The 27,041-nt window shown below is 42.6% G+C and overlaps 1 protein-coding gene and 1 long non-coding RNA gene across 9 annotated transcripts in view, besides 2 other annotated features; one reads left to right on the top strand and one right to left on the bottom strand.

The window, feature by feature from the left end:
- OTUD3 (OTU deubiquitinase 3) overlaps positions 1–19,553 on the bottom strand; it is a 30,551-nt gene extending 10,998 nt beyond the window's left edge. For 4 of the 7 annotated variants that reach the window (NM_015207.2, XM_005245793.5, XM_005245792.5 and 1 more), the window contains exons 1-4: positions 19,214–19,553; positions 11,415–11,563; positions 7,468–7,580; positions 4,286–4,408 (exon numbers count right to left, since the gene is read on the bottom strand). In NM_015207.2, coding sequence (NP_056022.1) covers positions 4,286–4,408; positions 7,468–7,580; positions 11,415–11,563; positions 19,214–19,434 — 606 coding nt within the window. In that variant the 5' untranslated portion in view covers positions 19,435–19,553. The other 3 variants (XM_024454320.2, XM_047415806.1, XM_047415825.1) reach the window with 3 other exon arrangements.
- The window catches only part of LOC105376823 (uncharacterized), a 28,954-nt gene continuing 14,696 nt past the window's right edge, over positions 12,784–27,041 (top strand). For both annotated transcript variants that reach the window (XR_947028.3, XR_947027.3), the window contains exon 1: positions 12,784–12,824. This is a non-coding gene — a long non-coding RNA (uncharacterized LOC105376823). The remainder of the gene's footprint in view (positions 12,825–27,041) is intronic.
- Positions 19,010–19,349: a silencer, noted in NCBI's record as "silent region_362". NCBI's record gives its function as "represses an Ori minimal core promoter by ATAC-STARR-seq in GM12878 lymphoblastoid cells {active_cell/tissue: GM12878}" and the evidence as "EXISTENCE:reporter gene assay evidence [ECO:0000049][PMID:35858748]".
- Positions 19,720–19,769: an enhancer, noted in NCBI's record as "active region_308". NCBI's record gives its function as "activates an Ori minimal core promoter by ATAC-STARR-seq in GM12878 lymphoblastoid cells {active_cell/tissue: GM12878}" and the evidence as "EXISTENCE:reporter gene assay evidence [ECO:0000049][PMID:35858748]".

Genomic DNA, 27,041 nt, shown 5'->3' with positions numbered 1-27,041 from the left:
CAAAAGGTGGGAACAACCTAAATGCTCATTAACAGATGAATGGGTGCACAAAAAATCATCTCTCCAAACAATGGAATATTATTCAGCCATAAAAAAGAATGAAGTACTGATACATGCTACACCATGAATGACTCTCAAAAACATTATACTGAGGGAAAGAAGCCACAAAGAAAAAGTCACATATAATTCCATTTACATAAAATGTCCAGAATAGGCAAATTCATAGAGAAGAAGGGCAGATTGGTGACTGCTAGGGGAGAGGGGGAATTGGGAGTCACTGCTTAATGGATATGAGGTTTTCTTTTGGGGTGATGAAAATATTTTGGGACTAGACAGAAGAAGTGGTTGTACAACAAACACTGCAGATGTACTGAGTACCACTGGACTATATATTTTTAAATGATTAATTTTATGTTATGTGAATTTTGCCTTAACTTTTAAAAAAAGAGGGGTTCTGTGGGATACCTATGTAATTAACATCTTGTTATTAACAGCTCTCACAGACAAATGATAACCAACTAGAAAACATAAAAGATCTCTTTACAATAGACACAAAAAACACAAAACACCTCCTAAGAATAAACTCAACAAAAAGTGGGCAAGATCTATATGAAGAAAATGTTCCTGTGGATCACAAAGTCAATTAAATAATAAAAGACTCAACATCAAAAAGATGTCAGCTTTTCCTTAAATTACTCTATTAATTTAATGAGATTCCAATTTTAAAAAACTCAATAGGGCCGGGCACGGTGGCTCACGCCTGTAACCCCAGCACTTTGGGAGACCAAGTTAAGCAGATCACTTGAGGTCAGGAGTTCAAGACCAGCCTGGCCAACACGGTGAAACCCCGTCTCTACTAAAAATACAAACATTAGCCAAGGGTAGTGGCGAGCGCCTGTAATCCCAGCTACTCGGGAGGCTGAGGCAGGAGAATCGCTTGAACCCGGGAGGCAGAGGTTGCACCACTGCACTCCAGCCTGGGCAACAGGGCAACAGAGCAAGACTCTGTCTCAAAAAAAAAAAAAAAAAAACAAAAAAAAAAACCTCAATAGGATTTCCTTTGAACTAGACACATTGATTCTAACATTCATTTTGTTTTTTTTAAAAAAGACAACATATAAGGAAACTTATAAAAAGAAAATTAATTATGAGTGAAAAATCCTACCAGATTTTAAAATATACCAACTAAAACAATGAGGCATCAACATGTGAACAGGGAGATCAGTGGACCAGAACCAAATGTCTAGGAATAGACCCAAATACATATGGGAATTTAGTATATGGAAAGAAAGTGGCATTTTAAATCAGTGGAGAAAAGATGTATAATTAATCAATGGTTTGGGTACAACTAGGTAATCACAAGGGAAATATAAAGTTGGATCCATAGCCTCCTACCCTTATTTCAATATAAATTTCAGATGAAGCCAAGATTTAATTTTTTTTTTAAGTCAAACTATGAGCTGGGTGCAGTAGCTTACATCTGTAATCTCAACACTTTGGGTGGTCGAGGCAGGAGGGTTGCTTGAGTCCAGGAGTTCGAGACCAGCCCGGGCAACAAAGTGAGACCCTGTCTCTACAAAAAATAAAAAATTAGCCAGGCATAGTGGTACACAGCTGTGGTCCCAGCTACTCAGGAGGATCGCTTGAGCCTGGGAGGTTGAGGCTGCAGTGAAACATGATCATAGCACTGCACTCCAGCCTGGGCGACAGAGTGAGACCCAGTCTCAAAAAATAAATAAATAAATAAAGTGAAACTATGAAAGTACTATTCTAAACTATGGGAGAATTCTTTTTAACCTCAGAGTGGGAAAGACTTTCCCAGTTATGACCCAAAATCCAAAGGGCATATAAGAAAATCGTAACAAATTTAACTATGTAAAAATCTAAAATTCTTTCATAGCAAAGACCACAGGAGAAAGAACAAAAAGACAAATGACAGAGTGCGAAAAACTATTTGCAACTCATATCACAGACAGAGGCTAATTTCCCTAATACATAAAAAGCTCCCCAAAATCATTAAGACAACTTAATAGGAAAAAAATGGAGAAAGAAAATGAATACCATTTACAAAAAATAGAAATATGTCTTAAACACAGGAAAAGATGCATAAATAAGAGAAATGCAAATTAAAACTAGGTTAAGTAAACAATTTTTCCCCTAACAATGAAAAGGATTTAAAAATTTGGTAACACTATGTTGACGAAGTGCACCGTGCAGGAAAAGAGCCACATATTGCAGGTGGGAGTTTAAACCGGTGAAATCTTGTTAGAACGTAATTTGACAATTCACTTATCAACATCCTCTGATGTGGCAAGGACCTTCTAGGAATGTGTCCCACAGATACATGAGTGAAATGAGGTACATAAAAGGTACTGCACATTGCTTATAATAGCAAAGGGTTAGAAACCACCTAAAAGTCCATCAGTAAGTGACTGGTCAAAAATATTATAATGCATCTACAGAACAGAACACTACGCAGCCTTTAAAAAGGATACAGGAAGTTCCTTATGTACTACCATGAATTAAATCCCAAGACATGTTAAATTTAAAAAGCACAGTGCAGGATGTATGTGTGGGATGTGTAGTATGTGTAGGATGCTACAACTAGTGGTGGGGAGAGTAAAAATGGCAAAAGTGGAATATGTGCACATCTATATATATATTTGCTTGGTATGTAAACCACAGGAGATTTTATGATATACTAATACCACTGATTGCATCCAGGGAAAACAGTGTGGCTGAAGTACAAGGGTAGGAGAGTGACTTTGACTATATATCCCATTACATATTTTGAATTCTAATCCATGGACAAATATGACCTATTCAAGAATTAAAATTGCCAGGCACCATGGCTCACACCTGTAATCCCAACATGTTGGAAGGCCAAGGCAGGAGGATCACTTGAGCCCAGGAGCTGGAGGGCAGCCTGGGCAACATAGCAAAACTTCATCTCTGCAAAAAATTAAAAAATTAACAAAGCATGGTGGCGCACACCTGTAGTCCTAGTTACTCATGAGGCCAAGGTGGGAAGATCGCTGGAGTCCACGTAGACAAGCCTGCTGTGAGCCGTGATGGTGCCACTGCACTCCAGCCTGAGCAACAGAGCGAGACCTTATCTCAAAAAATAAATAAAATTGTTTAAAAAACAATGGTTTTGGATCATGTGTAAAAACAGGAAAAAAAGGTTTATGCAATAATGCTAATTTTTTTTTTTTTTTTGAGATGGAGTTTTGCTCTTGTTGCCCAGGCTGGAGTGCAATGGTGCTATGTCGACTCACTGCAACCTCCACCTCCCAGGTACAAGTGATTCTCCTGCCTCAGCCTCCCGAGTAGCTGGGATTACAGGCATGCGCCACCACACCCGGCTAATTTTGTATTTTTAGTAGAGATGGAGTTTCTCTGTGTTGGTCAGGCTGGTCTTGAACTCCCGACCTCAGGTGATCCGCCCGCCTCGGCCTCCCAAAGTGCTGGGATTACAGGTGTGAGCCACCACGCCCGGCCAATGATGTTAATTTTTAAAAACAGGAAACAAAGCTATATAAATAAAATGTCAACCATGTTTTAATGCATTAAATTAATGGAAATCTACCAAAACAGTAACAAAATTTACATTCAGGTAGCTGAGTTGACTTTACATGCTTTTTATTTTCTTCTTTACCTTTACTATAGTTTTCAGATTTCAGATAAGAAGCATGAGTTAGGCCAGGTGCGGTGGCTCACCCCTGTAATCCCAGCAGTTTGGGAGGCCAAGGTGGGCAGATCACCTGAGGTCAGGAGCTTGAGACCAGCATGACCAACATGGAGAAACCCCATCTCTACTAAAAATACAAAATTAGCCGGGCATGGTGGCACATGCCTGTAATCCCAGCTACTAGGGAGGCTGAGGCAGGAGAATCGCTTGAACCCGGGAGGCGGAGGTTGGGTGAGCCGAGATCGCACCACTGCACTCCAGCCTGGGCAACAAGAGCGAAACTCCATCTCCAATTAAAAAAAAAAAAAAGGTGTGGATTAATTTTAAAACATAAAAATAATTTTAAAATTCCATGTATCTTATACACATACAATTGTAACTATCAACTATCAGAAAAAGCAAAATAATAATAAGCAATTTTATCTATCACTCTCACCTAAACTAAGAAATAAAAAATATTTTTAAAATCAGGCCCACAGATTCTCAATGCCAACTTTCTACAAAAACATTACTGGTTTTTAGCGCCAGATATACAGCTCTCAATCTGTTTCCTGTAGGGCGGGGAATACGGGAGAAATCCGAGGCCTCACTCACATCCGTCTGGAGATGTGCAGGTGCCTCTGAGTTGTCATTGATCCTCCGAACACTGTCGTAGTGCTCTCCATACCGATATGCGATGTGTAACTCCCTCACGCTGCTTTTCTCTGTACCACGAATCTGTAGACAAAAGAAGGGGCCATGCCAGTGAGGATCTGAACACTATCAACTTCTGGAGAGAAACACCCACCTGGACTGCTGAGGAAGCCCAGTCAGCAGGTCTATGAGACACTAATTGGGAACACACCTGGGATATGTCACAAGCAATTTCCAAACTACCTCCTTCCTATGCGTGTATGCTTCCGTATGCTTATTTAATATGTAACTCCATGGAAATAAATCATGTAAGAAATTCAAAAACCAGGGGCAGACTTGCGATGAAGTTAAATAAGCTTAAGCTTCAGAGGCTGTATTACCTCTGAGCCCCTCTAATGCACAAGCCCCTTCCAAGGGGAAGGCCCAGGGGCAGATCCAGATTTGTTGAGCTTGAAGCCCTAACTATTTGAAGGCTCTCTTTGAGGAAAAAAAAAATGCAAAATTATAAATATAAAACTGGTAGAACTTCTCCCAAGACCTAGAAAGGGAGTCCTACAAATGAGTGGCCTGATGTTTCATTAGCTTCAAGGTAAATCCACCCCTTTCGTTAAAACGAAAATAGCATTTTCTATTAACCACCTAAATGAGAAACATCAACAACAAACCCAAATCTCCTACCTACGTCAGCTTCAAAACAAAATTACATAAAGTAGTACGGCCTGTAGCGCTCAACCCTGCAGGCGCCACCCACAAGGTATTCTATGTGAACTACACCCCTGACACACAGCACAAGAATGGGGCTCCCTAGAGTTGTGCAGTACAGAAGCCCTAAGGTCTGGGCGTACCCCAAATAAAACTCGCCACGTCCAAAGAAACTCTCATTCTAACTTTGTCCCTTAGAAAGCCCAGTAATGGTTCCTTTGTTTAAACTCCAAAACATCAGCACATTCTTTTTACTGAAAATCACACATAGTAAGATACTGCCCTTACTTTAAACAGTATCCATGGTCTAAAGACAAAGCAAAAACCATGGAACAAACAGGAAGCACACAAGTCTAGATGTCAGTAGCGTGGAAGCTTTTCCAGTAGAATACGCAGATCTCAAGTGCAGAGAGTCTGGTTTAGACACATACAAAATAGAGAGCACCATTTGTCTCCCAGGAAGAGCAATGGGAAAGTAAACAGTTTATTAGAATCTTTGACATAATCCCTAAAGCACTTACATACCTAATAATAATAATATATATATATATTATGAATAGAAAACCTAACTGGAAGAATATTCACCAAATTGTTAACTGTGACTTTCACGGGCAGATTACAGAGGACTTTCACATTCTATGTTACATACATCTAGATTGTTCACAGGAGCACATATTCCAATTATAACCAGAAAAAAAATGTAGGTTTCAATATCTCCATGGTGTGAGTATAAGCCTACTCTTTATTAATGAAAGAGCCCATAACCATGAAAGTAGCAACCAATGCAGTTTCAGTTCTTAAATTTTATAAGATGCTTCACTGGGGTAGGAAGACATAGGGGGATCCAATGGAAATATTAGTAAATTTATTTTAAAAAGATGTACTTTCAATGCTCAGGAATTTATGAAAGAGAACACTACAGAAATAAATTCAAAAAAAAATTTACCTATGCAGAAATGTCTTCCACAACTACCTAGGTAACTAAGAAACTTTGGGAAAAAAGTCATCAATGGAGGAAAAGGCAAGCTGATTACTGAGTTGGTAGTGAGTATTCCCCTTCAAGGTGAGGGTCATTATGCTGTGTATTCAAATGATTTTGTTAACTTCTGCAAAACAGTGTAAGTTTAAAGACAAAAAATAGAACAAAGGGGTAACCAGTATTTTTGCTCAAACATCGCCCTTGGAAAACAGAACCCCATGGAAAATATGATAGCTCTATCTGGTACCCTGATGTCAGGACATCCGCAACACTGCCCCAAAGAACACAAGCAGATACTGTTTCACTCCTGCTCCTTCTATCCCCATAAGGTAAAATTTCTCACCATCCCTGCACTATCTTACTTTGTTGTAGCATAGTTTTGTTAAAAGGACACTGTGCCAGGGACAAAAGGCTGCATTCTTTAATATGACATTCTGGAAAGGCAAAACTATAAGGACAAATCAGAGAATGGGCTACAAGAGGCTGGGTATTGGGGGAGGGGGCCAGTGATTACAAAGTACAAAGAGCCTGGAAGTAACTTTTTCGAGAGTAGACTAGTCTGTGTTGATAGTAGTGGTGGTTACATGACTGTGTTTGTCAAAACACATAGAACTGTATACTTGGAAAAGGATGAAGTTTGCTACATGTAAATTATATCCCTATAAACCTATTTTTAATCAGCAAAGGCTATGACTGAGCAATTTACAAAGGAATATATGCAGGTGTCATATGAAAAAAAGGGCACTGTTACCTTTATGCTAATAACACAGAAGTGTCCGTATATATGTGGATATGGATACATGTGTGTATGTGTTTTAAAAGTGTGTAAAAACATTGTGATATGTTCCTTTCCAGTTATGTATCAATGTTTTTATAGCCAAGTGTGTGTGAATGACAGGAATACTCACTAAAACATTAACAGCAATAACCTCTCTCTGGGTGATTGAATAAAATTTTAAATATAATTTTTAATAAAATTTTTTTCTCTTTACGAGCTTTTTCAATTTTCTAACTTTTCTACAAGTACTGTATTTTAACTTTTTAATTAGAAAAAGTGAGAAAGCGGTGAGTGGTGGAGCAGGGCAGAGTGGGTGGGGAATTAACAGAAACCACATGCTCAGTCTTTAGGAGCTGAGGTACAAAGCAACAGGCAGCACTCTGACTTTAGGGGGTGACAGCCTGTGTTTCCACACTAGGTTCTCTGTCCCCAACCTGCCCAATTAGCTGACTGTTGAATATTTATAGCATTTTAAAAGATTTCTAAATTATACTCCGGACTCCATTTGTACATAGCACAGGGATTACTTCTGAGCCATCACAAGATTTTTGTCTTTGGTTAGGCTCGTAGACCAAGTTACTCCGCATAATTCAATGTTCACAGGTCAAGCCCCTCATCTTCGGATATTCCCAAAGCTGACTTAGAAATAAGAGCTTAAGATAAATGTTTAAATAGGTGACCTACCTGCCACAAAGGGGCATTAAGTTGATGAATCACTACATTCAACTGATGATTTCTTGCAAAGGCTACAATTGCATCATTGCCAGCAAAAGTACCAGGCTTTGCCAAACTGGCCACTGCATGGAAATAGGAAAGAAAAATGACGTCTTTATAGTGGAAAAATCTAAATGCAAACATGCTTTGGTATTTACTGAGTTCCAAATAATAAGAAACAACGATATATATCTGAGAAGTCCATTAACTTTGTCAGAGTCTAGGAATTTAGCTAGTTGAACAATACAAGACTGCTACTCAGAAGAACACTAGTCATTCATAAAGCAAAGATCCATTTATTTCTTCTGCAATAAATGTTTACTGATTACTTCCAATATACTAACTCAATAAAAGGCACTAGAAACATAACAATAAACACAGTAATCTTAGCAGCTTGCATTAGTGAATGGTTGTTATGTGTCAAGCACTGATCTAATCACATCTCATAGACAAGTACTATTATACAAACCATTTTATACATGAGGAAACTCAGATGCAGAATAGCTGAAAACTGTGCCAAGGTCAAAGAGCTGGTACACAGTGGAGCTGAGGTTTCACCTACGCAGCCCAATGCCAAGGTCCTGGCTCTCAGCCACTCCATCAATTTGCCCTCGCGGAGTTCACAACCAGTGAGGGGCAAACAAGATAGGCACTAATGATGCACAAGTACTTCAGGAAGGGCATGTGCAGTAAGAATTTGGCCTTGCCCAAAGAGAGGTCTGGCCTTTATCCTGGGCTCCTGGGAGGTCACTTCTAAACCTCTGGAATTCCCAAAGGTGATGAGAGTGTCTGTTATTCATGACGGGCCTCTCCACCACATCTGGCATCAGACCTTTGTGGTGGTGATAGGGTGAGAGGGGAGACTGAGTTCAACCACTTAGACATGCAGTAAATCAATAAGCAAAACAAAACAAAACAAAAACCTCTGGACACCAAAGTTAGGGTGAGCTTCCCCAGGTGACAATATTCTATGTGTACTGTCACACACAGATGCTATGAGGAGAATATGCCCTGAGGACAACAGAAGCTTCGTGTCTGGAACCTTTCCAGACTGTCCTATGCATCTCTTCCTTTGGCTAGTAGTATTGATCTGCATCCTTTCCCCGTAACAAACCGTAACTGTTAGCATGACAGCTTTCAGTGAGTTCTGTGAGTCCTACTACCATATTATGGAACCTAAGGGAGGTTCTGGGAGACCCCAACTTGTAGATGGTACCAAAAGTTGAGGGAAGTCATGCAAGGACTGTGTTCTCGAACCCTGCAGTTTGGCTAACTCCAGGTGGTGAACATAAGCCAACGTGGAATTGAGGAGCGGGAGGTAAGGTGTATCAGAGGAGCTTCTCAACTGAGACAACTAAGCTAATACCCAAAGGACAAGGAAGAGTTAAGACAGGAGAAATGGATGATGTTCTAAGAAGAGGAGAGACAGACACGAGAGAGAGAGAGAACTCTAATATGGCAGGAACTGAGAATGCTGAGATGGAGAGGTGGAGGAAGTGAGAAAATGTTGGGGGGAATGGCAAGAGATGAGGACAGAGAAATGAGAAAATCCCAGATCATGAAGAACTAAAAAGTCTGGGCTCTATCCTGAGGTCAATAGATGAGTCATCAACAGCTTTTATACAGAGGAAAAACACATTTAGATCCCCCTCTGGCTGTTATGTAGAAAACAGACTGAGGAAATCAAGAGACAATGATACCGAACAGTATGGAGGAAATCTAAGCAAATGGCCACAGAGGTCTGATTTTACGGGGTAGTAGCAGTGAAAGAAAAACTGCTGAGGTAGAGTGATAACATGTAATGAACGGGTAAGAGAAGGGAGGAAGATAAGCATTAAGAATACTCAGGTTCTGACCTGGATACTTGTACAGTTGGGGGAAAGATGTTGCTGATTCTCTGAAGCCACAGTCTAAAAGAAAAGAATAATCCTAAAGATACAGCCAGATGCAAGGGTGACCAGGTCCTTAATAGTATAGTGAACCATTCATTTATTCACTTTATGAATGTCTACCAGATGCCGGGCACTGCCACACCGCAAAACAAAGACACACAGTCCCTGCCCTTGAGAATCTCACAGTACAACAAGGTAGGCAGCACACTGACATTAAAAACAGGTAACTATGACTCAAGACTCACCAATGTAACAAGCCAAGCCTTCAACTGACACACAAAGAGAATGTGCAGACTTCCAGGTTTCTTTTCATTTCTGCTCTGGCCGTCAAAGTGACTTCTTACTTCTGTGATGCTCAAATTCTTAAGCAGCTCCAAGCAACAGGCATGCATAGTGACATTTCAAGAAAACACCTTTCCACTGTTCATCTCAAGTGACTATCACATTGGCAACCGAAGATTTGAGTTCCCTATCCTGTAACACCCCAAAATCCACCATGTGATCTTCACTGACAGTGTTCAAAGTGGAGTTTCACATCACAAACTAAAAACCCGTTTCATCCAAAATGATGTTTTCATTGGATTAATGACACAATTCATTTCGTACAGCACTAAACTACAAAATTTGTCCCATATACAAACATTTAATTTGTAAACTGCTGACTATCCAGTAAACTATGCATATCTGCTAGCCAAAAAGTAATCCCAGGAAGAGGGACCATCTGAACTCAGTGATTGGTACAAACCACCCATTGGAAGTTTTGTTGCTCTGTGTCTGGTGCCTACTGAGTAAGTTCTTTCCTAGTAAGGAATGGGAAACACTTTGGGATCACTGATACCTTTTCTCCCAAATGTCCCCCTCCTGCTGCCCTCTCTCTTGCTAACGGTACAGCCAATTACCCATTCCCTAAGCAGAAACTTCAGAATCACTCTTGTCTCCTCCCTCTCCCCTCCTCACCTCCAATGTGTCCTGTCAATTATACTGCCAAAGTGTGGCTTGGTTTGGGCCTTACTCATTATCCTCAGTAGCTACCTTGATGGAGACCTCCTCTACTCTCATCTGGCCAGTGTGGAGACCTTCTAACTAGTCTCCTTTATCAGTCTCTCTCCCCATCCATTCTTGGCATGGCCTCCAGACTTAGCTCTCTAAAACAAAGGATCAATTCTCTTTCCTGATAACAGACAGAAAAGACTATAAGCCCTGTGATGAAAATGCCATTTGTAAGACATATCAGCAGCAAGCACAGTAGATCCTCAGTAAATATTTGTTGAAATTAAAGTTTACAAGTTCATATGCATTTTCTATAAGATCTATGCCTATTAAATAGGAACCAATTAAAATCACTAACTGACTTGCCTCAAAGAAAACAGATTGTGTTTGGGGTTTGGGTGAGAAATTAACATGATTTTATTGGTTTTTCTAATTTTAAAAGTAATACATGATCATCTAAAAGTCAGAAAAAGTCTATAAAAGATAATTTAAAATACCATAGTCCCATCATCCCCAGATGGCTAACGCTTACTAAGGGCTTATTTTAATTTTGTTATCTAATTTAATCTTCACCAAAAACCCTGTGAGATAGATGCTATTATTATCTCCCTTCTATAGAAGTTTAAAGAGAATGAGTAATTTCTGAAAAATAAGTGAAGCTAAGAATTAACAAACAAAATGTTAGTATCTTTCCAGACTTTTCCTACTGTGTCTGTATACCTTTTAAAAATAGGATCAACCTATACAAGCTATGTTATAGCCTGCTTTTCCCACCCCACAGAGTAAGAAGTCATGAATCGCTTTTCAGGTCAATTAATACCATCATGTTTATTAAGGGCATATACAGCTAAACCTACTGATCCCCAACTACCTAGCATACTGCCGATAACCAAGTAGGCAAACAAATATTTCTTGAATAAATGAATGTCGTGATTTATATAACCAAACCCTTGGCTGGGAGGGGGGAGGATGCCAGTGGACTTAATTACCCAATGCATTACTCCTGAAGGACACAATGTCCCACAGTGAACCTACCATGCTTCTCAAAAGGAATGTCATCTTCTACAAAGGGTTCAAAATCTTCCCGCTGCTTTATCATGTAGTCCACTGTCTCCTGTCTGTGCTTGAGATGATTTCGTGAGTGTCCCTCCAATTGATCACCAAGAGCTCTGAACAAGCAATTGCTGTCAAAACAACAACACGAGTCAAGACCTTTCAAAAATGAACTTAGTTCGTCTAAAACAATGATGCTTCATGCCAGATCATCCATGGAAATATTTTGTGCACACAGAGGTAAAGACTCAACTCTAATAGTCCAGGATTCTTCCAAGACCACGGGGGACAGCATGAGGGCATATTCAACCATATTACCTTCTTGAGAGGCAGCAAACAAGGATTCTATTCCCCATGTACCAGCTGGCTGACTCAGGAGAGTCATCAAACTTCCCTGGGCCTCAGCTGCTTCAACAAGTGGAGCCGGTGATACACTAACCACCTTACTACAAGGTCCAGACCTTATAGGCCATTCCATGCCTAAGGGCTATGATTTACAGATCCTCTTCCAAAATCATGTCCTATCTACAGCCTCTTTTCTAAAACAAGTTCCACTACAGCTACCCAGCTAAGTAATCATTCATTTAACAAATAGTACCCAAAAAATAGCAATTTGTCAAGCTGCCAATACTAACAACTGAACAATACTCTGTTTGAGTCCTAAGAACATAGTGGAGAAAGTCATGAGAAGGAAAGCACTTGGACAACAAACAGTTGTACTATGGAAAGACACTTCCTCCTTGCCTCCTCACTTAGCACCCAGGGAGCAACAATGCCATTGTTATTCCTGCCAAATGAAAACTTTAAACACCACATTTTGTTTCTCTAAAATTAAAATACTGGTAATAAACTGTAAGAGTTATCTTTACTTTCAAACCCCTCAAAGGCTTCTAAATTCCGAACTATCACAAACACAGAGGCTTAGATACACAGAGACTCAAACAAGACAAACACAATCTGGTATCCTTAAAACTACAGAAATAAACAATTCTGAAGCCAAACAGTTGTCCAGTTTTACACCCAACTGTTTACTCTTCCAAATGAAAAACTATGATACTGTAATTCCAAAGTATAAACTCATCACTTTCAGAAAGATTTCATGTCTAAATGTGTAGGAAAAAAGGGGGTTTTGTTTTTCAACTCAGAAAAGTGAATTTTCAACAGAAAGCTATAGAAAGGCTGGAATCTCTTCTAATGTATAAGAATATATACTTTTTTTTTTTTTGCAGGGGAGGGGAGAATTAAGACAGCTTCTATAAATTAAAAACCAAGAAGCTTTCCAACAATCTAAGACAAGATTCTAGAAGGAGTGGAATATAGAGTTCTGTAGGCTAGACTGAGGTGTCTTGCTAAAATCTGACAATGGCAGTCTTTTTTCAACCATGGAGAAAAGTAAGTTAATCGATAAAACAATTTAAATGTCAAGCTTTTCCCTCAAACTTTTCTTAATCAGCATCTGCCACCACTAGCCTATTCTTGAATTTAGTTTAAGAGATGTGATTTATCACAAATTTATGTAGTTATTTTACATTTAATGTACCAAAATTCATGGTATTCTACAGTTACATGTTTGCTAGGAACTTTTAATAACATGAGCAAATGTTCTCCAAAAAAGTAGGTGTAGAACTGTATATGCCACATGAACTCAACCAAGTTCATCTGTACACTATACACATACACAGACACAGAAACACACACAAACGTATGCCAAGAAAACACACAGAAACAACCACTTAAATAGTTCTTACAATGTGCCAGGGACTGTCCTAAACACTTTATATGTATTAAACATGTTGTGTCTCACAACTCTGAGATAGGTCCTATTACCATCCCTCAGGGGAAACCTGCCCAAGGTCACAAAACTAGTAAGTGGTAGGCCCAGGATCCAAGTCCAAATAACGTGGCTCTCGCTCGAATGTCAACACCAAAATGATAGCCATAGTTACCCCTAGGCAGCAGAATTAAAAATAATATTTAAGAGTTTTAATTGTTACATTTTTTAATATGCTTTTCATTACTTACCAAACTTTCTTTGAGCTCACCCAAAACAAGCCAAAATAGACAAATCACTTCCTTTTCTGACAGGATTACAAGGTAATGAACAAACACTCCAGTGACCTGGGTTTCCTTAGGTGAGCCCAATAAGAGCACTCAAGAAACTCATGAGAACAAAGCACCGCTGCCCAAAGGGCCTCTAGGAGATCTGGGCCACTTCCTGAGTTCACACTCTCACCATTACCTATAGCAGGGCTTCTCAATCTCCACATTATTGACATTCCAGGATCATTTTTTTGTTGTGGGAGGCTGTCCTGTGCACTGTAGGAAGTTTAGGAGAATACTTGGCCTCTGCCATTAGCTGTCAGTAGCACATCACTACCTCCCTCCCCATCAGTTGTGACAACCAAAGATGTCTCTAGACATTGCCAAATGTCCCCTGGAGGGCAAAATCATCCCTGCTTGAGAACCACTGTGTTATAGGGATATATGGCAGGTCTCGCATTTGAGTTCACAAAAACAACCAATTACATAAAGAGCACGCAAATGTTTTGAGTGCGCAATAATTTACTATTAGACAATATTGCAACACACGCACCAAAAAACCTAACGTGCTCTCTAGACTGCAGTAATAATAGTAAATGTGCAGAAAAAGGAAAAGGTTTTATTATTTGGGGTCAGACCAGATAGGGTACTGGGTACCATTCTAGTTACTGTATTTTAAGAGAGACGTATTCAGATAAATGATGTGGCTTTAATACAATATGAAGAACTACTAGTGATGTTTGGCCTAAAGAAGGCTCAGGGGGACGTGATCAATACCTCCAACTGTCATGTGAAATTAAAATTATACCTGTATAATAAAACGAAAACCTGGAAGCCACAGAGACATAGATTTTGGCAAATAAAAGGTAATTTCACCTTAGCTCTACGGAGGTAGACTATATAGACTCAGGATTCTGCCAATTTCTATAACTAGCAATTCACAGCAATTGTCTAGATGTGTGTTGTTTAATAGTGGTTGCTAACCGCATGTGACTACTGAGCATCTGATGTGGCTAATCCACAGTGAGGTGTGCTATCAGTGTAAAATACTAGATTCTGAAGCGGTCATATAAGAAAATATGAGAGATCATCAGCCGGGTGCGGTGGCTCATGCCTGTAATCCCAGCACTTTGGGAAGCCAAGGCAGGCGGATCACCTGAGGTCAGCAGTTTGAAACCAGCCTGACCAACACGGAGATACCCCGTCTCTACTAAAAATACAAAATTAGCCAGGTATGGTGGCGCATGCCTGTAATCCCAGCTACACAGGAGGCCGAGGCAGGAGAATCGCTTGAACCTGGGAGGCAGAGGTTCCAGTGAGCCAAGATCGTGCCATTGCACTCCAGCCTGGGCAACAACAACAAACTCTAATGTCTCCAAAAAAAAAAAAAAAAGAAAAAGAAAAAGAAAATATGAGAGATCAATAATTTTTATATTGAATTGTATGTCAAAATAGTATTTTAGATACAATAGCTTAAATAAAATATACTAAAATTAGTTTCACCTGTTTCTTTTTAATGTAGTTACTAGAAAAATTTTAAATCACATACGTGGTTCACATTCTATTTCCCCTGGACAGCGCTGATCTAGATCACTGATTCTCAAAGTGTGTTCCCGGACTAGGAGCATCAGCATCCCCTGGGCAGTTGTTAGAAATGAAAATGCTGGGGCCCACCCAGGCCTACTCAATCAGGCATTCTGGGGTTGGGGCCCAGCAACGTAGCCCTTCCAGGTGTTTTCACTAGCAGTCCAGGTGGTTATGTTGCATACTGAAGTTTGAGAAACACTAGTTGAGCATCTAGACTCTAAATCAGTCACTCTCAATTATGGATGCATATAAGAATCATCTGTAAATTTTTTTTTAAAAAACATCAATAACCAGGCCCCACTCTAAGATTCTGATGTAGTTGATCTAGGGGAGAGCCCAGGCCCTGAATTGTTTCAAAAGTTCCTCCCCAGATATTCTAGTATGGCACCCAACTGAAAACCACTGAGTGAGGCACAAAAGATGGCACTGCTGTTCAGGTGACACAGGCAATAATTAGACAAGATGATGTGTGAATGCCCTTCTACTACTGTGATCCTGCAATATTAAAAACAAAACTAAAAAATAAACTACTTGTTAGTAATAAGATAAACAGCTAAAATTAGTGATTCTTCAATGTTTCAATTTTAGAACACTGCTAATGAGTAATGTAACTCAGAACTACATTTAGTAAGACCCAACTAGATAAGTTCAGAGGGATGTTAATATTGTACTGCCTAATAAATAGAGTTATACATTCTTTTCACACTATAGCCAATCATGTTTTTAAGGAAAACATCAAGGTTAAACTATTTCTTTCTTGCTTTGAAAAATGAATCCAATTTATGTGGGTCCACCTTCCAGACAACACGTGAAATATGAAGCTGGTCCAGGAAGCATTACAAAACCCTCTAAGTAGCTCCCTGATTAATCTACACTAAGCTGACTCAACCCATGTAAAGGCTGTATTACAGGATATTGGTTAATTCATCCCTAAACCCCCTCAGGTTCCAGAATGCTACAGGTACCATATTGCCAACAATGAACATGCTCATAGATACTGTATCAGGCTACTCCAGATTGTAATCAAATCTGAATGAAAACAGGGAACGCTAGAGATGTCAACTATTTTTTAATAGTCTTTAACTTCATTATATTTCACCTGAGTCCTTAATAAACATTAATAAAAGAATCCGTTGTCCAGGCGCGGTGGCTCACACCTGTAATTCCACCACTTTGGGAGGCCAAGGCGGATGGATCATGAGGTCAGGAGTTCGAGACCAGCCTGGCCAACATGGTGAAACCCCATCTCTACTAAAAATACAAACAAATTAGCTGGCTGTGGTAGCAGGTGCCTGTAATCCCAGCTACTCAGGAGGCTGAGGCAAGAGAATTGTTTGAACCCAGGAGGCAGAGATTGCAGTGAGCCAAGATTGTGCCACTGCACTCCAGCCTGGGTGGCAGAGTAAGACTCCGTCTGAGGGGGGTAGAAGAATCTGTTGACACCTGCCAACCCATCACATACACAGGAAACACCATCCCCTGCAGTGATAAAGTCTGTCATCACCACATTCGAAAGGACTAGGATACTGACGAGGGCTGAACCACAGTCCAGCTAATGGAACTCATGTGAAGAACTTGTGAACAGAAGGTGGTTAGCTCCATGAAGCCCACACAAGAGGAAATACGATCATTTTATCTAACACTGTCCGAATAACAGGAACCTTGGAAGAGAGACATGAGCACTCCAGTCAAGCTGGTTTCTGGAGCCTAGCTTCACTGCCCGTTACTTCTACCCTTGTGCCCTACACTACCCGTCACCCTAAACAACCTGTAGATCTCCCAAAAACATCGTGTCCTTGTGCCTCTATATATACTCCTTCTCAGATGGGACCGTTCTCTTGGTGTACTCCTATTGGTCCTTCATGACCCAATCAGAGCATGACACCCTCTGAGAGGCATCTAGCAGTGTATCCAATGAGTATTTACCGAATGAACGAGAAGGACTTCCTGGCCAATTCATAGAGTAGTAGCCTTTTCCTTCTCAATAGTACCATTATAATCAGTCACTGTTACTAAAAATATATCAAACTATATTTTAATTATTTGTATCATCTGTTCTCAAAGTGTGACTCAAGGGACCGGAGATGTGGGAAGGTCTCTGATATGCTTTCAGGGTATCCGTGAGTTCAAAACTAAGATGTAATGTACCTTTTTCATTCTCATTCTCTCACAAGTGCAGTGGAGTTTTCCAGAGGCTACCTGATGCATGAAGTCATCACTCTGATAGCTAATGGAATGTGTGTGTATTCTTGTGTTTTAACTTTGTTTTACTTTCTAATACAGTAAATACTCATAGCTATAACCCATATAAAGTTCTTTCGGTTTCTCAGTAATTTTTAAGAATGCCAAGAGATCTTAAGACCAAAAAAGCTGAGACCCACTGTTACGTGTTTCTACCTTAGGCTATGAAGTCCTTAAGTATCTTAGTCATCAACATATTCCCAGCACCCTACTTAAGGTGTGCTGAATTAACTTGAAAAGTATGCTGTGTGTGTATGGGGGTGTGGGGATAGGGAGCAGAAGTAGTACCCCCAAAGTTTCCCATAACCTTATGAAAGCCCCCTCAAGAGTTTACAACTCCCTGTGCTAATTCCTCCTCATAAGTAACCTTCTATTGAGTACTTCAGTTTCCTGGGCACCCTGACATTGAGAATACCATACCCAGTATAGCAGACACAAGCAATCCAATCATTTGCAAGGAAAAGCCCCAATGTCCCACGCCAATTCCACTGTATTCAATTGGTATTTCTGTTTCTATAAGGGTGTCTTGGGCTTATGCTTAGGCTAGCTGACCTCCCTCTATTATTTTTATATTTCATTCAGCAAAAACGTACTGACTGCCTTCCATGTACCAAGCACTTTGCCAGATGATGGTGAATAAATGTAATCAAGTTCCAACTGCATCTTAAGCAAAAACAGCAACGCAGCAAAGTGTGGTGAACTCTTTGTGAGCAAAAAGAAATCCAATCTGCCTGAAGCAATGAGCATAAACAGGAACGGTGGGAAAGGGAAATTAGGACCAGTTCACAGTCTTAATCAATAAGCTGCAATGTAATGTGAAAATTTTTAAAACACCTTATTCTGCAGTTAATATCTAAGGCAATTCCTGGCCGGGGGTGGTAGCTCATGCCTGTAATCTAGGCACTTTGGGAGGCCGAGGCAGGAGGATCGCTTGAAGCCAGGAGTTCGAGACCAGCCTGGGCAACACAGCAAAATCACCGTCTCTACAAAATAACAATAATAATGAACTAAGGCAATTCCTTATGGTCTTTAATTTCATTTTAGTCTTCCCTCTGCAGGATCTGAGCACTCAAATACGGGGAGGAAAAAAACAAAAGCCAGGCTGTTATTAACACTCTCTCTTCCAAAGTGACACAGCTGACAACCAGACCCCTTTTTACCTGCCCCTGCAATGGGGATCCTAACTGTTCTCCCCTCTTCCTGACCCTTTTCCTTCTTCCATCCATGTTCCTGGAGCCATATCCCCTTTCTTGAAGCTAATTTTCTTCCTCCTCCCCACTCTCCCCCTCCGCGTTCCCTAAAGAAAGCTGGACCTGGATCCAGTCTAAGTCCCAAGAAAGCTTGGGGAAGCACCTTTGCTTACAGAGAAACTGAGGCCCATGGAAGGAAGAATTAGAGAAGCTGCCTTCAGCTCAGTAAACAGGCGACCTAATTTCACAAATGTAAATGGGGGCACCACCCAAAAACCAAGGACTCAAAGGAGGCAAAGCGTTCTACCAAGTGGGGCTTACTCAAACTCCTTCAACTGGTCTTATCGTCATGATAACTGTTTTTCCAATGCCTGGCTCCATCTCATTCCTTCAGAACTCAGCTTAAATGTCACCTTTGAGAGAGCCCTTCCTGGCCACAATCCAGTGGCCCTGCTCCCATATACGGTCTCAGCACCCACTTTCTATTTCGCTCGCGGCGTCTGCCATGATTAGGACCCTTTGGGATCCCCGCGAGCGTCTCGGGGCGAGGGGCTTGTCCGCCTCACTCGCAGCTGGACGCCCTGCACTCGGAGCGTGGCTGGCTCGCGGGAGGCGCCCGGGCCGCCCGAATGAATGGATGGATGGACGCGAGCGGGCAACGGTCGCCAGGCCGAGCCCGGCGCGTCCCCCGGCGCCGCCTCCCTCGCTCCCGGCCCGCCTCACCCGTCCCCCGGCACCTCCCGCAGCTTCAGCCCCAGGGCCTGCAGCTGGTTGGCGAAGCTGACGAACTCCTCCTCGCAGCCGCCGCCGCCGCCAGACTCCGGCCGATTCCGCCGCTCCTTGGCCAGGGCCCGGCGCGCCGCCCGCTCGTCCCGCTTGCGCTCGGCCTCGGCTTTCCGGCTGCCGCTGCCCGGCCGGCTCTTCGCCGCCTGCTTTCGGGACATGGCCTTAGCCTGCAGTCCCCAGCGGCAGGAGGGAAAGGCGCAGGACCCCCCAGCGTCCGCCTCAAGCGTTGGGAAGGTAAAACAGCGCGGGCAACGGAGCCCGGCGACGACTACGCAGCAACCGCGCCTGCGCCGGCGCCCAGCACCCCGGTCACATGATGGAATCCCCGCCTCTTTTGCGGGGCTCGGCGAGCAGACGCCATAGAGAGCTGGAGGGGCACCCATCTTGGTTTGTTCTATTCCGCCCTCTAGTGGTGGATGGTACTCAACGTGAGTGGCAGGAGCGACCGGAGAGGGACCAGAGAGAACAAAGCAGGAACAAGTCAAGCAGAGAAATTAAAGATGATAGAAGAGTGGAACACAGAGCAGCGGCAAAAGTTAGGACCGGAGATGAATAAAAACGATTTAAACTCTTGCTGCGAGCCTACTACAGTTGGATAGGCACTTTCACACGGCTCATTCTTGTTTAATTATCCCCAAATTACAGGAAACTGAATCTGAGTGGTTAAATAATTTCAAGATCACACAGCTAAAAGGCAGAGCTTTGCCCTGGCTCCAAAGCCCGCATACTTGTTTATTTAATCCTGCCCTTCATCTCTCCGCCTTCCTTCGTAACTCAAGGGAGAGGTCGCCCTTCTGTCCAAGACCACTGGAAATCCTAATTCCATCCTAGAGCGACCCACCTAGGTTTGCCTGGACTAGAGGTTTTCTTGGGATGCAGGACTTTCCGTTTTAAAACTGAGACAGACCAGGCTGGGCGTGATGGCTCACACCTGTAATCCCAGCACTTTGGGAGGCCGAGGCGGGCTGACCACAAAGTCAGGAGATGGAGACCATCCTGGCTAACACTGTGAAACCCCGTCTCTACTAAAAATACAAAAATTAGCCGGGCGTGGTGGCGGGCGCCTGTAGTCCCAGCTACTCGGGAGGCTGAGGCAGGAGAATGGCATGAACCCGGGAAGCGGAGCTTGCAGTGAGCCGAGATTGCACCACTGCACTCCAGCCTGGGGGACAGAGCGAGACTCCATCTCAAAAAACAAACAAACAAAAAAACAAAAACAAAAACTGAGGCCAGGTGCAGTGGCCCACGCCTGTAATCCCAACACTTTGGGAAGCCGAGGCCAGGGGATCGCCTGAGGTCAGGAGTTCGAGACCAGCCTGGCCAGCTGGCCAAGATGGTGAAACCCCATCTATATTGCGTGAGGCTGAGGTTTGGAGTACAAATGAATCTGTCACCCAGGTAGTGAGCAAAGTACACAATACACAATAGGTAGTTTTTCAACCCTTTCCCCCAACTGCCTCCCGACTCTTGTATTCCCCAGAGTCTATTGTTCCCATCTTTGTGTCCATGTGTATCCAATGTTTAGCTCCCACTTATAAGAACGTGCAGTATTTGGTTTTCTGTTTCTGCCTTAGTTCACTTAGGATAATGGTTTCCAGCTGTATCCATGTTGCTGTTCTCCCCTCTTCCTGGACATGATTTTGTTCTTTTTTATGGCTGCATAGTATTCCATGGTGTATATATACCACATTTTCTTTATCTAATCCACTGTTGATGCGTACCTGGGTTGATTCTATGTCTTTGCTATTGTGAATAGTGCTGCAGTGAACATACGGGTGCATCTGTCTTTTTGATAGAACGATATATATTCCTTTGAGTATAGACCCAGTAATGAGATTGCTGGGTCGAGTGGTAGTTCAATTTTTAGTTCTTTGAGAAATCTCCAAACTGCTCTCCACAGTGGCTGAACTAATTTACATTCCCACCAACAGTGTAAAAATGTTCCCCTTTTCCCCACAGCCTCAGCAACATCTGCTATTTTTTCTTTTTAACAAAAGCCATTCTAACTGGCATGAGATGGTATTTCATCGTGATTTTGATTTGCATTTTTCTGATGACAATAAGAATGCAAAAGAGAGTTGTAAAGATTAAATAAAAATGTAAAGCCCCAGGCATGAAGTAAGTACCTATTTAATGAAGTTGTTTGAATCAGTTCTCTGGAAATCTCATGAGCTCAGGGGCAAAGACTTTCAAACTTTAGAAACCAGGGAAGAAAGGTTTCTCACCAGCAAATAAGTAAATACAGACTGCTAACATATTGATAGAAAAGCGAACACTTGCCCGTCTTGTAAAAATCTTTTTGGCTGGGCGTGTGGCTCACGCTTGTAATCCCAACACTTTGGGAGGTGGAGGCGGGCGGATCACCTGAGGTGAGGAGTTCGAGGCCAGCCTGTAATCCCAGCTACTGGGGAGGCTGAGGCAGGAGAATCGCTTGAACCCGGGAGGCAAAGGTTGCAGTGAGCCGAGATTGCGCCATTGCACTCCAGTCTGGGCAACAAGAGTGAAACTCCTTCTCAAAACAAAAACAAAAACACAAACAAAAAATCTTTTCTGGCATAAGCCCTTAGCCTTTAGCCCACACACAGATTTTGAATGGGCGAATTTCTCTTCTCAGCGGAGACCTGTGTTAGACAGTGTCTCTAAGTGCAAATCAATGCTGCCTATAAATTATATTTAAAGGCCAAAGGGAAGGAGTATAGTACTTGTAAATAAAATGAATGCTCTGCCCACTTCGCTAGAGTTAATTAAAAGAATCATTGACCCGCACAGTGGCTCATGCCTGTAATCCCAGGACTTTGGGAGGCCAAAGTGGGGGTATTGCTTGAGCCCAGGAGTTCAAGATCTGCCTGGGCAACAAAGTGAGATTCCCCATCTCTGCAAAAAAATTTTAATTAGCTGGGCATGGTGATGCATGCCTGTAGTCCCAGCTATTCGGGAGGGGCTGAAGTTGGAGGATCACTTGAACCTGGGAGTTTGAGGCTGCAGTGAGGTATGACTGTGCCACTGCACTCCAGCCTAGGTGACAGAGCAAGACCCTGTCTCAAAAATAATAATAATAGTAATCAAACCTCATTGGATGGCAGTATAAATTAGTAAAAAGTGTGACTAACAGAATTTTAGTGAAGAAATGCAGCTTTAGGACTTTCAAGAACATACCATCAAGGGTATGGGAAAATGAGAACTCTCGCACACTGCTGTTGGGAGGTAAATTTATCTAGCCACTTTGGAGGGCAATTTGGACTGTATCTGGTAACTTTGGGGTTTTTTTTGTTTTTTTGTTTGTTTGTTTGTTTTGAGATGGAGTCTTGTTCTGTTGCCCAGGCTGGAGTGCCGTGGTATGATCTCGGCTTACTGCAACCTCTGCCTCCCGGGCTGAAGAGATTGTCAGAGATTCTCCTGCTTCAGCCTCCAGAGCAGCTGGGAATACAGGCACACACCACCATGCCCAGCTAATTTTTTTTTTTTTTTTTTTGTATTTTTAGTAGAGGCGAGGTTTCACCATGTTGGCCAGTCTGGTCTCGAACTCCTGATCTCAGGTGATCCGCGTGCCTCAGCCTCTTACTGTGCTGGGATTAGAGGCATGAACCACTGCACCTGGCCTGTATCTGGTAACATTTTAAATGTCTAGTGTCTACATCTCGTGATCTATCCTAAAAATAGAAATATTACATCTCCTCCTAAACTCCTCGTGTGTATCCGTATTCTAAATTTTCCTCGTGCAAGACGATGAACCCCAGGGTATATACTCCGGACAATGTAGCTCCTTCAAAAGTACACTCTCAGACGCAGATAGTCCTAAAGCAAATTACATGCACGTGCACTAGAAGGTATGTCCAAGTGTTGGCAGTTGGCCCGTTCAGGTTCTTGACTTAGCCACGTAAAAGAATTTGAGAGTGAGTCCAAAGTACTCCAAAGAGCAGGCAAAGAAGTTTATTGCAAAGCAAAAGTGATACAGGAGTTAAGAAGAAATCGCGTAGGCAGATAGTAAGGGCATGGGAGTCCTCGGTAAGGCTTTTCTTTTTAATGAAAAGCAGCCCCAAATCATCTTCTAACAGAGTAGCCTGTAAAGTGGAGCTGCAGACACAAACAAGCTGGGAGCTTGCACGGGTAAATGCCACAGGGAACTACCGACTAGACATGTTCAAGATGGCGGCTTCATCGCCTCTTCTCTGCCAGCCACGTGTACAGTAAGGAGCAGACAAGATAGCCTGCCAAGGATAATTTATTTGCATAATAAGATTAGGGTGGGGAACCAGCCTTCCCTGCTATGTAAATGTCACACCTGATTGAACCAATCTGTGAGCCCTATGTAAATCAGACACCGCCTCCTCAAGCTAGACTATAAAATCCAGTGCATCACTACCAACAGTTCTTTTCCACTCGGAGACACCTCTCTCTCCTGAAAGAGCTGTTGCTCTTTCTCTTCTCTTCTGCCTATTAAACCTCAGCTCCTAAACTCCTCGTGTGTGTCCGTGAGCTAAATTTTCCTGGTGCGAGATGACGAACCCCAGGGTATATACCCCAGACAGTGTAGCTGCTTCAAAAGTACACTCTGAGAGGCAAAGCAGGCTGCTAAAAGGGAGAGGCAGCCCCTAGTACCTTACGGGGAATTCCCTTTATGGGAGCTGTACATGCATATTCATGAAATACTGCTGAGGTCAAACATGCAAAGACAGACCTGCAGTTGGCACATGCGCTTAGCATCGACGTGCTCTAACACGCATAACGTGTATCCTTAGCATATAAAACCACCTAGGGGTGTGTTTTTTACTTTTTTGTTTTTTTGAGACAGGGTCTTGCTCTGTCTCCTAAACAGGTGTGCAGTGGCGCCATCACGGCCCACTGCAACCTCCACCCCCCCAGGCTCAAGCCATCCTCCTGCTTCAGCCTCCCTAGTAGCTGGGACTACAGGCGCAAGCCACCACGGCCCGCTAATTTTCTGTTTAATTTTTATAGAGACGAGGTCTTACTATGTTGCCCAGGCTGCTCCCGCCTCAGCTTCCCAATGTGCTCAGATAAGCGTGAGGCACTGCGCCTGGCCTTTTGTTTAACCATTAAAATGAGGAAAAGGTCTGCAAGCTAAACCTTGAGCCTAGCTGCCGATGCGGGACCCCGGAGAAGTCCCTAGCTCCCTCAGGGCAGGCATTTGTAGCTAATAGCTTCTTGGGCTTTTGAAGCTGATTGGCTGGAGATTGGAGAAGCTACAAGAAGAATTAGGGCTTTTTGTTCTCTTTTCCGGGCTGTCTGAGACAGATACCAGGAACTTGTAACCATCTGGTCGGCTGGTATCCTGTGGGACCCTTGCAGAAGAGTTAGGCGTGGGTGCAAAGGATGCGGAAGGAACCCGCGGAGCGTCACACAAGGGGACAAGTCAACATGGCCTTCTAACCTTACTTATCCTGCCTCAGAAGGATGTTTAAGGCATGGTGGTGTGTAAAAACAAATAACTAGAAACAACCTAAATATCCATCAATAGGAAAATGGCTTCTTAAATTATGGAACAGCTATTTATTACATACAACGCAGCAGCATAAAAGAATGAGGTGGTGGATAGATGACGGGTTGTTAGGTGCAGCAAACCACCGTGGTACATGTATACCTATGTAACAAACCTGCACGTTCTGCACATGTATCCCAGAACTTAAAGTAACACAAAAACAAAAAAAGAATGAGGTGGTGGAGAAATGAGGTCGGTCTAGATGAACTCACATGGTTAGCTCTCCTAGGCATGTGGTCAAATGAAAAGTATGGGATCGAATGATCCGTTCAGTGCAGACTTTATGTAAAACTCAACAACATAAGACACAACAGAAGAATTACATGTTTTCTGCAAGTATATGTGTGTACTTTTTTTTTTCCTTTTTTAGTGACAGGCTCTCACTCTGTTACTCAGGCTGGAGTGCAGTGGGGCAACTATGGCTCACTACAGCCTCCAATACCTCGACTCAAGCAATCTTCTCGCCTCTATCTTCATACTCAGAAACATAGAAGATGGTTTGGAAGGGCACATAGCAAATGGATCAGAGTAAGGAGAGAGGAAAGAGTGAAAGTGACCTTATCGTTATTTCATATGTATTTTTAAATGAGGGTATTGTGTTCATGTATTGTGTGCATTATTACAATTAATAAAATTATTATTTTTTTTTTTGAGACAAAGTTTTGCTCTTGTTGCCCAGGCTGGAGTGCAATGGTGCGATCTCAGCTCACTGCAACCTCCACCTCCCGTGTTCAAGCGATTCTCCTGCCTCAGCCCCCATAGTAGCTGGGATTATAGGCGCCCGCCACCATGCCCAGCTAATTTTTTGTATTTTTAGTAGAGATGGGTTTTCACCATGTTGGCCAGGCTGATCTTGAGCTCCTGACCTCAGGTGGTCTGCCCACCTCCGTCTCCCAACATGCCGGGATTACAGGCGTGAGCCACTGCACCCAGCAAAATTAATAAAATAATTAACTTTTCTTTTTTTTTCTTTAAAAGAGACAAGGTCTCGCTATGTTGCCCGGGCTGATCTCAAACTCCTGGACTCAAGCAATCCTCCCACCTCAGCCTCCCAAAGTGCTGGGATTATAGGCATCAGCCACCACACCTGGCCAACAAAATTATTTTTCTAGACTAACAAAATCTATTCTTTCCCTTACATTGAAGCCCTATAGAGTTATCTTGAGATCTACTTTTTCACCTAAAAGGAATTTGCAGTAAGCATGTAGCTTTCCCCTAGAAACAGGCATTTCTGAAGTCTTTAAGAGTTCTTAGCATTTGCTCTCTTGCCCTTCTCACCATATCGCCCCCTAATCAATCTTGATTTTATTGCTAATTTGCTCTTCTTCTGAGGACAAGGTTCTCTAAGCAAAATTAAATATCAAATCAGCCATGTTCAAACTGTCACAGGTTAAGAATTACTAGAATTTGGTGGTTTTTTTTGTTTTTGTTCTTGTTTTTTGAAATGGAATCTTGCTCTGTTGCTCAGGCTGAAGTACAGTGGCATGATCTTGGCTCACTGCAACCTCCACCTCCCAGCTCAAGCACTTCTCCTGCCTCAGCCTCCCAAGTAGCTGGGATTACAGGCATGTGCCACCGTGCCAGGCTGATTTTTGTATTTTTAGTAGAGACAGGGTTTCACCATGTTGACCAGGTTGGTCTTGAACTCCTGACCTCAAACGATCCACCCACTTCGGCCTCCCAAAGTGCTAGGATTACAGGCATGAGCCACCATGCCCGGCCAGGATTACCAGAATTTGAATTCATAATATTTCCCTATATTCGATGGGCACAGGAGACATATGTAGACATCAAAGAATCAGAACAAAAAGCATCCCCTCGGCAGTCTTTATTTTATTTATTGTTATTATTATTATTGTTTTTTGAGACGGAGTCTCGCTCTGTCTGTCGCCCAGGCTGGAGTGCAGTGGCACGATCTCGGCTCACTGCAACCTCCGCCTCTGGGGTTCAAGTGATTCTCCTGCCTCAGCCTCCCGAATAGCTGGGACTACAGGCACATCCTACCACGCCCAGCTAATTTTTTGTATTTTTATTAGAGACGGGGTTTCATCATGTTAGCCAGGATGGTCTCGATCTCCTGACCTCGTGATCCACCCGCCTCAGCCTCCCAAAGTGCTGGGATTACAGGTGTGAGCCACCATGCTTGGCCTTATTTGATTTTATTTTAGAGACAGGATTTTGCTCTGACGCCCAGACTGGAGTGCAGTGGCGTGATTACGGCTCACTGCAGCCTCGACCTCCTGGGCTCAAGCAATACTCCCACCTCAG

The sequence above is a fragment of the Homo sapiens genome, chromosome 1 (assembly GCF_000001405.40).
Source record: "Homo sapiens chromosome 1, GRCh38.p14 Primary Assembly".
In the NCBI taxonomy this organism is placed as follows: Eukaryota; Metazoa; Chordata; class Mammalia; order Primates; family Hominidae; genus Homo; species Homo sapiens.
The sequence above is the reverse complement of the archived record's forward strand: the minus strand, read 5'-3'. Positions and strand labels throughout refer to the sequence as shown.